At 46.5% G+C, this 15,141-nt stretch overlaps 1 protein-coding gene across 3 annotated transcripts in view, besides 3 other annotated features; it reads right to left on the bottom strand.

Annotated features, from left to right (window-relative positions):
- Positions 1-15,141, bottom strand: part of PITPNC1 (phosphatidylinositol transfer protein cytoplasmic 1) — a 319,976-nt gene that overhangs the window by 39,274 nt on the left and 265,561 nt on the right. The gene's annotated exons all lie outside the window — the stretch shown is intronic.
- Positions 2,389-2,890: an enhancer, noted in NCBI's record as "H3K27ac hESC enhancer chr17:65651209-65651710 (GRCh37/hg19 assembly coordinates)". NCBI's record gives its function as "activates a minimal SCP1, AML or CMV promoter by ChIP-STARR-seq in primed H9 embryonic stem cells {active_cell/tissue: H9 hESC(primed)}" and the evidence as "EXISTENCE:reporter gene assay evidence [ECO:0000049][PMID:30033119]".
- Positions 6,464-6,543: an enhancer, noted in NCBI's record as "active region_12629". NCBI's record gives its function as "activates an Ori minimal core promoter by ATAC-STARR-seq in GM12878 lymphoblastoid cells {active_cell/tissue: GM12878}" and the evidence as "EXISTENCE:reporter gene assay evidence [ECO:0000049][PMID:35858748]".
- Positions 7,224-7,383: an enhancer, noted in NCBI's record as "active region_12628". NCBI's record gives its function as "activates an Ori minimal core promoter by ATAC-STARR-seq in GM12878 lymphoblastoid cells {active_cell/tissue: GM12878}" and the evidence as "EXISTENCE:reporter gene assay evidence [ECO:0000049][PMID:35858748]".

Genomic DNA, 15,141 nt, shown 5'->3' with positions numbered 1-15,141 from the left:
CTGAGTTTGAGATGGTATCTATTCCAGCATCTTCATGTACATTTCAGATTCATATTCTTCAAGAATAAAACAAGACTTCACGGTATTAAAAATGGAACACCAGTGGATTGCATTTCCAAAGCAGTTGAGAATTGTCGGGACTGACAGCTCACTTCAGTTCAGAATAAGACTGGAAAAGTATTGCTTGCACAGCAAAAACGATGTAGATGCTTAAATCAATGTGTGGTTCCTGATTGCGTGACAAAAGTATAGAATTATATTTGGGTATTGTGAAATAAAGTTTTGGAAAAAGGATAGAAATGAGAAGTATGCTGTATTTTCATGATTAAGAATATAATTTTTAAGCTGAAAGTGGTAATTTGGTTTCATGCCCTCAGTTTTATAGATAAGGACACCGGGGCCTGAGAAAAATAAAATGCTTTGCCCCCAAATCACAGGCACTCGGCAATAGGGCTGGGACTAGAATCCCAGCCTACCCTACTTCTAGCTCGATGTTCTTTCCACTACATTTACTTTTAATATTAAACAGAAAAAGGGTGTTTTTGTTATAGCCCAGTGCCAAATAAGCAATTAACAATTGGGCTTTTTATGGCAACATTGTGTCGATATTTTGCAGTCTGGTGTCATATCTACAGCTGTTGATTTCATCTAGTCAATCTCAAACATGGCCTATAATTAAGGATTCACTTTCAAAGAGCTAGAGGGAGGTAAGGGAAAGGACTCCTTTAATCAAAACTCAAGATTAGAAATGAACATCCAGGTAAATGCTTTTGAATGAAGATGAGCCAAAAACAAAACAAAACAAAACAAAACAAAACAAAAAAAACGGGGGTGGGGAGGGGAAGGGAACCAAATTATCTGGTCTTATCTGAAATAGTCCAGTTGCTGCAAACTTCTCTTTTCACATTCTACCCCCTCCTCCTCACTGTCCTCCTTAACACCTCCCAAGACCCATTCTTTATGAAGTCATTTTCTTTCTCATTTTCTCACTTGGGTTTACGAACATTCAGTATCTAAATTGCCCCCTTCACACATCGGTTGACCTCTCTTACAACATTTCCAAATATGTATATATTTCTGTTTTGTATTTCTAGAATGTCTGTAGTGTTTTGGGCCTGATTCAAACTCTTGTTATAGCACTTATTCTTTATAAAAGAACAGAATTATTTTACATTTTAATCCTCCATTTCCAGGTTTCCTTATTTTAAAAAGAGGTTTATAAACCTCAACCTTCATCCCCGATGTTAAAAATCCCCTGGGCCTTTCCACAGGCAAGTTTCAAGGTCTGGCCAATTATAAAACGTCATAAGGCTGGACTTTAGTGTGACCGAGATTACGTGTCTTGAAACCCCTGCTGGGTCCCAACTCAGTGCAATCAGAAAACAGAGTGCAAGATGTCTGCTGTGGGTTAAATAAATCCTCCCCAAAAATATGTCCAGGTCTTAACCCCTAGTATCTATCTATGAACGTGATCTTATTTGGGAAAGGTCCTTGCAGATGTAATTAAGTTAAGGGTCTTGAGATGAGATCATGCTGGATTAAGTGGGAGGGCCCTAAATCCAATGACAAGTGTCCTTATAAGATACAGAAGAGGAGAAGACACAGAGGAGAAGGTTGTGCGAGGACAGAGGCAGAGATGGGAGTTAAGGAGTCACAAACCAAGGAAATTTTGGAGCCGCTGGAAGATGAAAGGAAGGATGGTCCCCTAGAGCCTCGAAATCTCTCACTTGGATTTCAGACTTCCGGCCTCCAGAACTGTGACTGAAACCTCGGGATGAGGTCCAGACAGAAGAGCAAGGTTAGACCCCCATGCTCTGACCTAACTGGTCCTGGGTGGGGTCTGAACAGGTGGTGACCTGAATGTACAGTCAAGATCCAGTCACTGCTATGAAGTACACATATTATCTCCATGCTCTTGATGAGGAACCTGAAGCTGAGAAGTAATCAGCAACTCAGCCACAGTCCACCCCGACCCGGGCTCCCATGAACGTTTGGTCTGAACGTTTGTTGCCCCTCCCCCAATTCACATGTTGAAACTTTTTGGGTTTTTTTGCAACAGGGTCTTGCTCTTATCTCCCAGGCTGGAGTGCAGTGGTGCCATCACAGCTCACTGCAGCCTTGAGCTCCTGGGCTCAAGTGATCCTCTCACCTAGCTGGGATTACAGGCATGCACCACCATGCCCAGCTAATTAAAAAATTCTTTTAATGTTTTGTGGAAATGAGGTCTCATTATGTTGCCCATGTTGGTCACAAATTTCTGGCCTCAAGCACACTTCCTGCCTTGGCCTCTCAAAGGGCTGGGATTATAGGTGTGAACCACCGAACCCAACCCATATGTTGAAACTTAATCACCAGTGTGATGGTATTAGGGGGTGGGGACCTTTGGGAGGCAATTAGTGCTTTTTTTTTTTTTTTTTTTTTTTTGAGATGAGTCTCTCTCTGTTGTCCAGGCTGGAGTGCAGTGGTGCGACCTCAGCTCACTACAAGCCTCGCCTCCCAGGTTCATGCCATTCTTCTGCCTCAGCCTCCCGAGTAGCTGGGACCACAGGCGCCTGCCACCACGCCTGGCTAATTTTTTTTGTGTTTTTAGTAGAGATGGGGTTTCACCGTGTTAGCCAGGATGGTCTTGATCTCCTGACCTCGTGATCCGCTCATCTTGGCCTCCCAAAGTGCTGGGATTACAGGCATGAGCCAGCGAGCCCGGCCCAATTAGTGCTCTTATAAAAGAAACTCTGGATAGCTCCTTCACCCTTTCTGCCATGTGAGGACACAGTGAGAGGGGCGCCATCTATGAACCAAGAAACGAGCCATCTCCAGGCACTGAATCTGTCAATGCTTTGATCTTGGATTTGCCAGCCTCTGGAATTGTAAAAAATCAATGTTTATTGTTTATAAGCTACCCAGTCTATGGTATTCTGTTATTGCAGCCCAAATGGTTTAACACGTCACCCCTACACCATGTGGACAGGACATTCTGTCTGAAATTCTGGCACAATTGATCAGAGGAGAGCTTCCATCTCCCCATCTGTAGAATGGTGTTAAGAACTCCTGGCCAGGCGTGGTGGCTCATGCCTGTAATCCCAGCACTTTGGGAGGATGAGGCGGGCAGATCACGAGGTCAGGAGTTTGAGACCAGCCTGGCCAATATGGTGAAACCCCGTCTCTACTAAAAATACAAAAAAACTAGTTGGGCGTGGTGGCGCGCTCCTGTTGTCCCAGCTACTCGGGAGACCGAGGCAGGAGAATCACTTGAACCCAGGAGGTGGAGGTTGCAGTGAGCCAAGATTGCACCACTGCACTCCAGCCTGGGCAATAGAGGGAGATTCCATCTCAAAAAAAATCAAAAAACTTCCTTGCGGGTTGTTGCAAGACTTAAATTGGATAAGGTAGGCAAAGTCCCCAGCCCAGCCTGGCACATAGAAGGTGCGTGATGCACAGGAGACATCCCAAAGTGATAAGCACATGATACAAGGATGCCCTGAGAGATGCTGTAGTGCACTTTGTTCAAATCTTATTAAGCTCCTCCAAAGAAAGGCAGTGGGAATGTCCCAGGGGCTGTAGGATTACTATGAGTTTATTGTTATCCTGTAGTCAAATGTACAGAAAAATGCTGATCATCTCAAATAAAAAATATGACTGCCCAACAGCATGCAGGTTTCCTTGTGTGAGTGAAAGCCTGGGTGGGCATTTCCATTTTCTGGAAGCTGTCACATGCCAGTGTCCGTAAGTATGGTGGTTGGAGGAATTGCGAGAGAAGGGTTCTTGTTCTGTGGGATGTTATGACTGGGTTCTGGGTCCAGGTGAACCGACAGTCTTCAGTGCTCAGTACCAATGTCTTTCCCCCTTTCTCTTATGTTTCAGAGGCAGGAACACTCTGTTCCAAGTGGACGAAAGCAGAGAGCAGAGCAGATTGTCCCTGTCATGGGCCGCTCCCTTAGGCGATTTCACCTGGGGGCCTCTGGAACCTCGTGGTCCCAGCCAAGCAGGGGGCCCTCCTTGAACGGTGCATGTACTGGGCAGCCACCTCCCAATGGCAGGATGGGTGAGCCTCAAAGTCCGGCAGCCTTCACGCATCTTAAAGGTGACTTACAAGCTCTCCTTGTGAAGGGCTGAAAGGCATACAGAGGCATACGCTGTCCTTTCCTTCCAGTAATCTTCCAAGCCAGGGCAGGGCTCTCTTCCTCCCTGGTTCAAGTTCAAGAAATCCTACATTAACTCAGGGCTAAATTTTACCTGGTTGAAATGGTCATTCATTGGGAGAGGAATGAAAATGAGATCTGCAACACCTTGGAGGCTTCAGGAAAAGTTCCGTAATGCAGAGAAAGAAATCTAACATGTGATATGTGTTTTTCATTCGTACCTATTTAGGGTGGAGGGTTGGTTCCACTAGTCTATTCGTTTCCTGCTGTATCAAGTATCACAGACAACAACAACAACAACAAAAAGATAATCACACACTGGTGGCTTAAACATCAGAAATTTATTGTTTCACAGTACTGGAGGCTAGAAGCCCCAAATCGAGGTGTCATCAGGACTGGTCCTTCCAAGGGCTGTGAGGAGGAATCTGTTTCATGCCTTTCCCCTGGGCGTTCCTTGGCATGTAGAAGCATCACTGGAGTGAAGTCATCACATTCTCACTGCATCTTCATATCGTCTTCCCTCTGTGCTTGTCTGTCTGTGTGTCCAAATTCCCCCCAACCTTTTTTTTCTTTTAGACAGAGTCTTGCTGTGTCACCCAGGCTGGAGTGCAGTGGTGCCATCCAACCTCCACCTCCTGGGTTCAAGCAATGCTCCTGCCTCAGCCTCCCGAGTAGCTGGGACTACAGGCGCCCACCACCACTCCTGGCTAATTTTTGTATTTTTAGTAGAGATGGGGTTTCACCATGTTGGCCTGGCTGGTCTTGAACTCCTGACCTCAAGAGATCCGCCTGCGTTGACCTCCCAAAGTGCTGGGACCATAGGCGTGAGCCACTGCACTCAGCTCCAAATTTCTCCTTTTTATAAGGACACCCATCATACTGGATTAGGGTCCCCCTAATGATCTCACTTCAACTTGATTACCTTTGTAAAGACCCTATCCCAAGTAAGTTCACATTCTGGGGGTTAGGACGTCAACCTAGCTTTCTGGGGGGACACAAACCCATAACATGAGTCAGAGAGGTTTTTACAAGGCAAGTCTTCTAGGTTCCGCGGTCACTCTTCCAGCTCACTCATGTGGTCACGGAGCACCGAACCCCAGTAGTGGCATCTGGCTCCGCTGGGGGATGTGGAACTTCTCTGCAAGCGATGCTCTTGCCTCAAGGGCCCTGCCCAGCTCCTCTCGGCCCGGCAGCTGGCTGGTGGGGAACGCGTGGGGCTGCAAGTTCTTCTAGCCAGGGTTTTATAAATTCATCCACAATGAGATCTCTGGCTCCGGATGCTACCGATTCTCTCCAGGCTTGGCAGATGGCAAATTGGACCCTTGTAGTTAAAGCCCATCTGTATCGAGGGGGTTGAGCTGGTGCCAGGGCTGTTTCCCTGGGGCCAGATGGACTTCGGCACATCTTTAGAAGGCGTCCACTCTATAGGATCAGCCACACCTGCAGGCCTCATCCATCTCGCACTGGGACAAGGCAGAGCAAAGGGCTTGTTTGAGCAGCCCGTGTAAAACTGCGTCCTCGTTTTGGATAGAATCAGTCTCCCACCTGGAAGGTGCAAGGAGAAGCCCACAGGAGAGCTTGGTCCAGCTGGGGCTGAGCTTGCATCTTGGAGGCAATCTTATTAGCTGACGTTCACTGAGATATGAAGTCTCCATGATTAATTACACTCTCAATTTGAACCACAAAGGGCAATAGCCAACAGGGGCTTGCCCTGTTAATTGAAATGAGAAGTTTTTGATAAATGCTAAATGAAAAAAGGCTAAGCAGGAACTCCAGCCAGGAATTGCTACATTATGTAACTATAACCCTCAGCCCTAAAATAGGGATGGATGAACAACACATATCACATGTCAGATTTTTTTCTCTCCATCCTGGAACTTCTCCTGAAGACTCCAAGGTGTTGCAGATCTCATTCTCATTCCCCTCCAATGAAAGTAAAGTTTAGCCCTGAATTAATGTAGGATTCCTTGAACTTGAATCTTAAGAGGGATACACATAAAACCAAGGAGCTTTCAAAGCAGCTAGTCCCCAAAGACCACTTATTAAGTGACCCTATTCATATGAAATGCCCAGAAAAGGGAAATCTATGGAGACAGAAAGTAGATCAGTGTGGTTGCTGAGGCTTGGGAGATGGGTGAGGGGAGAGGGTAGGGAGATGATAGCTAAAACATATGAGGTTTCTTTGTGGGGTGATGAAAATGTTTTACATTTGATTGTGGTGAGGTAAACATGTGATTATAGTAAAATCCACTGAACTATACATTCAAAATGGCTGAATTGTATGGTATGTGATCTATATCTCAATAAAGCTGTTTTTTTGGGTTTTTTTTTTAGACGGAGTCTCATTCTGTCACCTGGGCTAGAGAGCAATGGTGCAATCTCGGCTCACTGCAACCACCACGTCCCAAGTTCCAGCAATTCTCCTGTCTCAGCCTCCCAAGTAGCTGGGATTACAAGCACGTGCCAGCACACCCGGCTGATTTTTGTATTTTTAGTAGAGATGGGGTTTCGCCATGTTGGCCAGGCTGGTCTCAAGCTCCTGACCTCAGGTGATCCACCCGCCTTGGCCTCCAAAAGTGCTGGGATTACAGTGGTGAGCTATTGTGCCCAGCCAATAAAGCTGTTTTTTAAAAAAGAGACAAAACTAAGGAGCTTTCAGAATGTGCTGGAGAACTGACCTAAAACTTGACTTAAAAGGTCAACTGCTATGCATCAACTTAAAAAAAAACAAACCAAAACCCTAAATGCAAATCATGCCAGAAGCAGTCAATTCTTGCTTTGTTAGCAGTTAATACCTAAAGTGCTATTTTTAAAGCATTTGCTCTTGGCACTAGAATGCACCGCAAACCCTGAGCGGTTTGTGTTTTTTCTCTGCAAAATGACTCTCTTAAAGGAGTTTGACTCATAAGGTGCATCTGATGTGTAGAAAGGCACTGAAAGGCAGCTGTGGCAAGGGGAATGTTTCTGTTTTGTACCCTTCTCAGTTATAGTTCAGTGCCACAAACACTTGAAACTCATTGCTTTAAGAAGAGGGACGAGGCAAATGAGAAATTTGAGCACATCACACAAAACAATGTAATAGTCCATGGTTTTGGCCAGGCGCCGTGGCTCACACCTGTAATCCCAACACTTTGGGAGGCCAAGGAGGGCGGATCTTTTGAGGTCAGGAGTTGGAGATCAGCCTGACCAACATGGTGAAACCCCGTCTCTACTAAAAATCCAAAAAATTTAGCCAGGCATGGTGGCGCATGCCTGTAGTCCCAGCTACTCAGGAGGCTGAGGCAGGAGAATCGCTTAAACCCGAGAGGCAGAGGTTGCAGTGAGCTGAGATCGCACCACTGCACTCCAGCCTGGGAGACAGAGCAAGGTTCCATCTCAAAAAAAAAAAAAAAAAAAAAAAAAGCCTATGGTTTCTAGCCCCCAGGATGCCTTTTAGGAACTGGGGAGAAGATGAAAGCAAATGAGAACTTGCAAGAGAGGTGGCCAGAGGAAAGTCAAGGAAGGAAGCTGGGAAAAATCACCCTAGGAGCTAACGTTTTCAAGTGCTTGCTCCGTACCAGAGTCTGTGTCAGGCACTTCAGATTCGCTTTCTCATTTCATCCTTGTGATGTAATACAAAATAGATTTGGTTTTTGTCACTGCTTCCTAAGACAATGCTCCAAAAACTCCTGGAATTTCCTGAGTGATGGGGGTGACTTTTGGGATGCATAACAAGCTCCTTCAGATCACATACACAGGTGAGGGGCCCTAGATGGCCTCAAGATGGCTCTGGTCACCAGAAACACCAGGTGATTAGGGGGTTAGAACTTTCAGCCCCATCCACTGACCTCTAGGGAGGGAGGGGGTGCTGGGATTGAGCTCCATAAACGCTTAAACACACTGACCTGCTGGGAGGATGGCACACCCAGAGGGGGCACGGAAGCCCCAAGTCCCCACCCCCCAATACCTCACCTGATGCCTCTCTCCCATTTACCTGCTGCTGAGTCATATCCTTGATAATAAACTGGTAAATCTAAGTAAATGTTTTCCTGAGTTCTGTGAGCCTTTCTAGCAAATTATTGAGCCTGAGGAAGGAGTCGTGGAGACCCCAGATTAAAAAAAAAATTTTTTTTAGTAAAAAAAATAGAGATGGAGTCTCACTCTGTTGGCCAGGCTAGTCTCGAACTCCTGGCCTCAAGTGATCCACCTGCCTTGGCCTCCCAAAGTGCTGGGATTGTAGGAATGAGCCACTGTGCCCGGCCTATAGCCTGTCAGTGAGAAGTGGGGCAGCTTTGTGGGACTGGGATCTGATGCTAACTCCAGATAGACAGTGTCTAATTGAATTGAATTGTTGGACACATAGCTGGTGCTGGAGAATTGAACTGGTTGGAGACACAGAAAACACCCCAGAATTCTCATAAGCAAGCTACTAAAAGTAGCCCACTATTACCTGCATTTTCAATAATGCCCAAGGGGATGCCCCCGTGCTATTCCCAAGCTCACACTCCCATGGTTCCATCTCAGCCCTAGCCATGGGCTCCTTCAAAAACTCCTTTAGAAATTTCCAGATGGGCAGCAGGTGCAATCTCTACGTTCCTCTGCAAGCTTTTGGGGACACTTATTAGTATCACCCAAGTCTTGCAGGATGGCAGCATTGAGGGTGGGCCTGCAAGTTCCCGGCTCAGCAAACAGTCAACTATTTTTTGTGTGTGTGTCAGGGTCTCACTCTGTCACCCAGGCTGGAGTGCAGTGGTGCAATCATGGCTCACTGCAGCCTTGAACTCTTAGGCTCAAGCAATCCTCCCACCTCAGCTTCCTGAGTAGCTAAGACCACAGGCATGTGCCACTGGGCCCAGCTAATTTTTAAAAATATTTTGTAGATGGGCTGTTGCTATATTGTCTGGGCTGGTCTCAAACTCCTGGCCTCAAGTGATCCTCCCGCCTTGGCCTCCCAAAGTGCTGGGATTAGAGCCACTGCACTGGGCCTATAGCCAGCTTTTTTTTGCAGATGCCCCAGCTACTGTAGTTGATTCTCTCAGAATACTACTCCTGTCACATGGGATTGGGGTGAGGCAAGAAGTATACTCCCAATGACTACAAACTCCCCTCCTTCATCTCCACATAGGGCCTAGGGAAGGGGAAGATAGGGGCAACCAGAGCTGTGGGAAGAGGGTCATCTGGGCCACTGGTGATTAGCAGCTGCCTGGTGAATGTGGAGTCCCAATTCCTCTTTGTCCCCAGCTTTGGGCCTGGTTCCCAGTTCCAGAGCAACAAGAGCTGTCTCCCTAACATCCTGTTGCAGAACACTAACCTGTTCCGTTTGGCAATATGAGTATAGTTCAAGGTAACCTCTAATCAAAAGCAATAAGGTCATTCAAGGGCACACTGGAGAGGACCCCACCTTAATACATGAGACAGTGAGAGGCCAAGAACCCAGCTCCTCCCATAAAGGGAGCTTATTAGAACCTGGCTCGGTTTGCAGCCTTTGAACTTGAGGCTGTTCTCCACTCTGATTTTAGCAGTGCTCTTTAGACGAAGGCTATGGGGAGGCATTAACAGCCTGCATTCCTACCGAGGATCTACAATTTGGCCTAGAGATAGCTTAAGTTTATTAAATCAAAAGCTGATAATAGGCTGACAAATATCTCGATGAGTTGCAGCATGCCAACAGTGATCAGCACCAGATTAACTGTCCCTAAGTCTAGCTTGCTCCTTGTGTACTGTATTATTTTGGGAAATTTAGGCCTCCAACTTGTCGAACAGAAACCAGGGTAGAGATGTTCAATAAGCCAATCAGTCTGTAATTTGAAGACAATAAAATATTTCCACTTTTAGATTTCAAACTTATTTGAGCTTCAGAACTCATTTTGTTTCTCCAAATGCACTTTTGGAATCCCAGTATATAAAGCAGGTAAAAGTGATGAGTGGATTCTTCAGGCTGTTTCTCCCTTCACTGTTTGATACAATGTATTTCACTGTTTACCATGCCCGGGAGCACCTTGTGGGGTCCTCAGATCTGTGGAGCAGAACTGAGAGATGAACTGAGGAGGCTTTGAAGTGAGAGAACACATGCCCTGCCCCCAGGTTTGAATTTCAGCTCCAGTAACTACTGTGTGAACCTGGGCAAGTTATTTAACTCTAAGACTATCGTGTGGATGCTAAAGTGAGAAAAGGAATATTTCTGAATTAGGGTCTGTAGATGGGTTCTTTGGTGACTAATGGCTTTTTTTTTTCTTTTTAAAAATAGCTTCCTGGGCTGGGTGTGGTGGCTCACACCTGTCATCTTTGGGAGGCTGAGGCGGGCAGATGGTTAGAGCTGAGGAGCTCGAGACCAGCCTGGGAAACCTAACATGGTGAAACCCCGTCTCTACAAAAAAAAAAAAAAAAAAAAAAAAAAAAACCCAAAATTAGCTGGGTGTGATGGTGTGCACCTGTAGTCCCAGCTACTTAGGGGGCCAAGGCAGGAGAATGGCTTAAACCCAGGAGGTCAAGACAGCAGTGGGTCGTGATGGTGCCACTGCACTCCAGCCTGGGCAACAAAGTGAGACCTTGTGTAAAAGAAAAAAAATAATAAAAGGTTTCTATTCTCTAATGGAGGATGGCTAGTTTTTAGTTTTTGGTTTTTTTTACAGACCCAAGCTGCTTTTGGCCAATCCACTATGTTCTGGAATGTTTGTAAAGAGGAAACTTCTCCCCAAAGATGAGGAGTGGAATTCTATCACATCAGGTAACCAACCGTCTCAAAGGCCCTTCTTTTTCTACATACCAGTCTTTCCCTAAGATCATTTAGTCACTGAGACTCGGGGTTGGGAAGATATATTTAAGAAGGGAACTATTTCTTAGAGTGATTTCCAAAGACAACAGTTGTTTGTACGTCTAGCTTTACCTGAAGGAATCTTACTTGGTGTAGGGGAAGCATAATCTTTGGGGTAGGACACTTTGGGGTTTGAATCCAGGCTTCCTGAAACTTCCAGCCAGTTACTTAGACTCTCTAAGCCTCAGTTTCCTTATCTATAAAATGGAGACAATGTTGGCTGGGTGCAGTGGTGGCTCGTACTTGTAATCCCAGCACTTTGGGAGGCTGAGGCAGGTGGACCACTTGAGCCCATGAGTTTGAGACCAGCCTAGGCAACACTGCAAGATCCCCATCACGACACACCCACACACACACACCCACACACACAAATAGCTGGTGTGGTGGCATGTGCTGGTAGTCAGGAGGCTGTGGTAGGAGGATCGCTTGAGCCTGGAGGGGTGGAGGTTGCGGTGAGCCGTGGTTGCATCACTGCACTCCAGCTTGGGCGACAGTGAGACTCTAAATGGTGGAATTTATTTTTCTCAAAAGTTAGTTCCATACCTTCTAAAACCAGGTTTAGCAATTTTGTGAGAAATTTTCGTTGAAAATTCTAAGGCCCAAGCTAATGAGCTAGTAATTATAAGTCTTTCTCTGGGCCTCTTAATAATAAAAGATGAAGACAAGCACCTTAATAACACTTATTCTTTCTTGGGTATTTTTGGAACAGAAGCTGAACAGTTGTATTTGGAGTCTGAATAACTAGATGTGGAGCAGACAATCGCTCTGTCAGGTCTTATTTCTCAAGGAGAAAAATGCCACCTCAAACATCATAGTCATTGTTGCAGATTCTTAGAGTGCTAAACAAAGAAAGGGCTTGGAGAAGATTTAGCCAGAGGACCTGGTGGACAGCTACCAGAGTCTTTTTTTTGTTTTGTCTTTGTTTTCAGACAGAGTCTCACTTGTTGCCCAGGCTGGAGTACAAATGGTACGATCTCGGCTCACTGCAACATCCACCTCCCAGGTTCAAGTGATTCTCCTGCCTCAGCTTCCAGAGTAGCTGGGACTACAGGCACCCGCCACCACGCCTGTCTAATTTTTGTATTTTTAGTAGAGACAGGCTTTTGCCAGGTTGGCCAGGCTGGTCTCGAACTCTTGGCCTCAAGTGATCCACCCGCCTTGGCCTCCCAAAGTGCTGGGATTACAGGCGTGAACAATCACAGCCGGCCTAGAGTCTTTGGGTGGAGGAAATAAACTTCAATAATGTCAATCTGAAGCCACCCCCAAATCAGAAGCAACTTAGGAAAAAAACTGCACAAACTTATGTTATAATTAACGCTAGTAGCTGTCAAGGAAGACTTTGGATCTGATTCTACAGATGGCGTCAGATTCCCAACAGACAGAACAAAATTCAAAGGCACTGACCTCTCTCACAATCGGGGAATGGGCAGGCTTACAGGCTTACATTGCTAACCCCCCTGCATCCCTCCTCCCCCAAATTAAGTAACAATAAAGTGGTTTAAAACCTTGACCTCAGTAAGTTGAGCTCTCTTAGGCAAAGCTTCCCTATGGTGAATGGATAGTAGATGTGATAAGGCATATTGCTCCCGCAGCCCTTGAGTAACAGACTGGGCCTTCTGAGCTCAGGGGTTGGTCATCTTAACCAGGAGCTCCTCCTCAATGTGTCAATCAAAACAAATCACTTTCTCTTTTTTTTTTTTTTTTTTTCTGAGATGGAGTTTCGCTCTTGTTGCCCAGGCTGGAATGCAATGGCGCGATCTTGGCTCACCGCAACCTCCGCCTTCAGGGTTCAAGTGATTCTCCTGCCTCAGGCTCCCGAGTAGCTGGGATTATAGGTGCCCGCCACCATGCCTGGCTGATTTTTGTATTTTTAGTAGAGATGCGGTTTCTCCGTGTTGGTCAGGCTGGTCTCAAACTCCCGACCTCAGGTGATCCGCCTGCCTCGGCCTCCCAAAGTGCTGGGATTACAGGCATGAGCCACCGCGCCTGGCCAAAACGAAACACTTCCTACCTGTCAAGGCATGAAAAAAGATGGGAAGCTCTGCTCTGAGGCCATTTTCCCAAACCTGGTGCATTTACACACTGATTCTTGGGTCCCAGACCAGTTGAGTCTGGTTGGGTTGGTCTAAGGTGGGACCCGGATATCTCCAGTTTTCAAAACCTCCCTGGGTGATGCTGACCTGATTTGGGAACTCTGTTCTAAGGGCCAAGAAGTTCTGGTGTTTTACTTTAATAAGACTAAAAACAGCAGGGGCTGATGTGGCTGGCCCCAGTTATGAGCAACTTGTGTGGACTCATTGCCTGTTTTCTTGAAAGAACAGAGCAGGGCCAGGTGCATTGGCTCACGCCTGTAATCCCAGCACTTTGGCGAGTGGATCACCTGAAGTCAGGAGTTCGAGAGCAGCCTGACCAACGTGGTGAAACCCTGTCTCTACTAAAAATACAAAAATTAGCTGGGCGTGGTGGCGTGCACCTGTAGTCCCAGCTACTCAGGAGGCTGAGGCAGGAGAATCGCTTGAACCCAGGAGGCAGAGGTTGCAGTGAGCTGAAATTGTGACACTGCCCTCCAGCCTGGGTGACAGAGTGAGACTCTGTCTCAAAAAAAAAAAAAAAAAAAAAAAAAAATTACAGAGGGAAGTTCTCCATGAGATGGAACTGAAGAAGAGCTTGTTGTATCTGTTCACTCCTGGCTGAGAGCCTTGGGCCCTTCAGCTCTTGCTTCCTTCTTTGAAAGTCTTAAATGTTAGTTTTCTATAGTACAGCTGTAAGAAGGCTCGTGGCAGACAGAGATAGCATGGCAATACTGCCTTGGGTACCATCCCGGCACTGCAGTGCCACAGATGGCCCAGACTTGGCACAAAACAAACAGCAAATGTAACTTCTAAGGTTTCTTCGAGGTGAAGTAGCAGAGACACGTGCCATCCGGAATTCAGGTTAAACCATAACAGAGGCAATAACACATTTTTTTTGAAAAGTCTCAGCAGCACAAATGGCTGTAACTTCTGCAGGATCTTGCTGAGCCGGCGGAGGATCCCATGATCCTGAGAGCTGGAGCTATTGGTATCACACCTCTGCTCCTGTTCTCCACTCACACCGACAAGGGAAAAGCGACACGCAAACAAACTCCTGTGACGCCACTCACGGTGGCCACTTTCCAAAGACACATGGTTTCCACGGAGCCACCATTCCTGCAACCCATCTGCAGAGCTCGAAGCCAGGGTCAAAGCAGAGAGAAGGGAACACTTATGAAATGCTTACTGTGTGCCAGGGACTGTGCTGGTCACTTTCCATGCCTTGCCTTTGACGTCATCTCACTTCTCCATCCCATCTGTCCATCTGTCCATTCTTTGGAAGGGAGGGAGGGACTCAGACACAGAATTGATGATGATCAAATGCAGTGGCTGTGACCGCCTGGGAGGCTCCCAGAGCCAGGGCCCTCACCACATTAGGGCTGAATCATCTAGACACAGAGCACACAAGTTGGGAATCCCAATTCATAGGTTCTAGGGGTTATCTTTTGCACAGATCCCTCTATGAAAAGCCCAACTGTTTCTCCCTTCCATGAATGTTTTGCTTGGATGAATTCTTCCCTCCCTGGTCTGTTCCTTTTGGGATATAGGGTGATAGGGTGATTTCCCCAAGGGTTCTTTCTTTCTTTCTTTTTTGAGACAAAGTCTCACTCTGTTGTCCAGGCTGGAGTGCAGTGGCGCGATCTCAGCTCACTGCCACCTCCGCCTCCCGGATTCAAGCAATTCTCGTGCCTCAGCCTCCCTAGTACCTAGGACTACAGGTGCGTGCCGCCATGCCCAGCTAATTTTCGTATTTTTAGTAGACAGGGTTTTGCCATGGTCTCGAACTCCTGACCTCAAGTGATCTGCCTGCCTTGGCGTCCCAAAGTGCTGGGATTACAGGCGTGAGCCACTGCACCTGGCCCCCAAGGGCTCTTTCTATTGATTCAATGACCCACAATGCCACAATCAGCAACTGCACTCCTGGCAGAGACTTAGATTCTCTGCTTTTGATCTGGCATTTAGGAATTCATATGCCTTGATTTTGTTTGACCTACTTGGTCTGGCATTTCACTACCAAATTCAATTGGTAGGATTTGCAACTGCTGCTCTGAACACTGAGTTCTGGGGAACATCATTCATGCCAATTACTGCAGCAGTTTAAATGGTTTTTTTCCCCTTGAAAAATTAAAAAAAAAAA

This window comes from Homo sapiens, chromosome 17, assembly GCF_000001405.40.
Source record: "Homo sapiens chromosome 17, GRCh38.p14 Primary Assembly".
NCBI lineage: Eukaryota > Metazoa > Chordata > Mammalia > Primates > Hominidae > Homo > Homo sapiens.
Note: the sequence above shows the minus strand (reverse complement) of the source record. Positions and strands in the feature narration are given on the sequence as shown.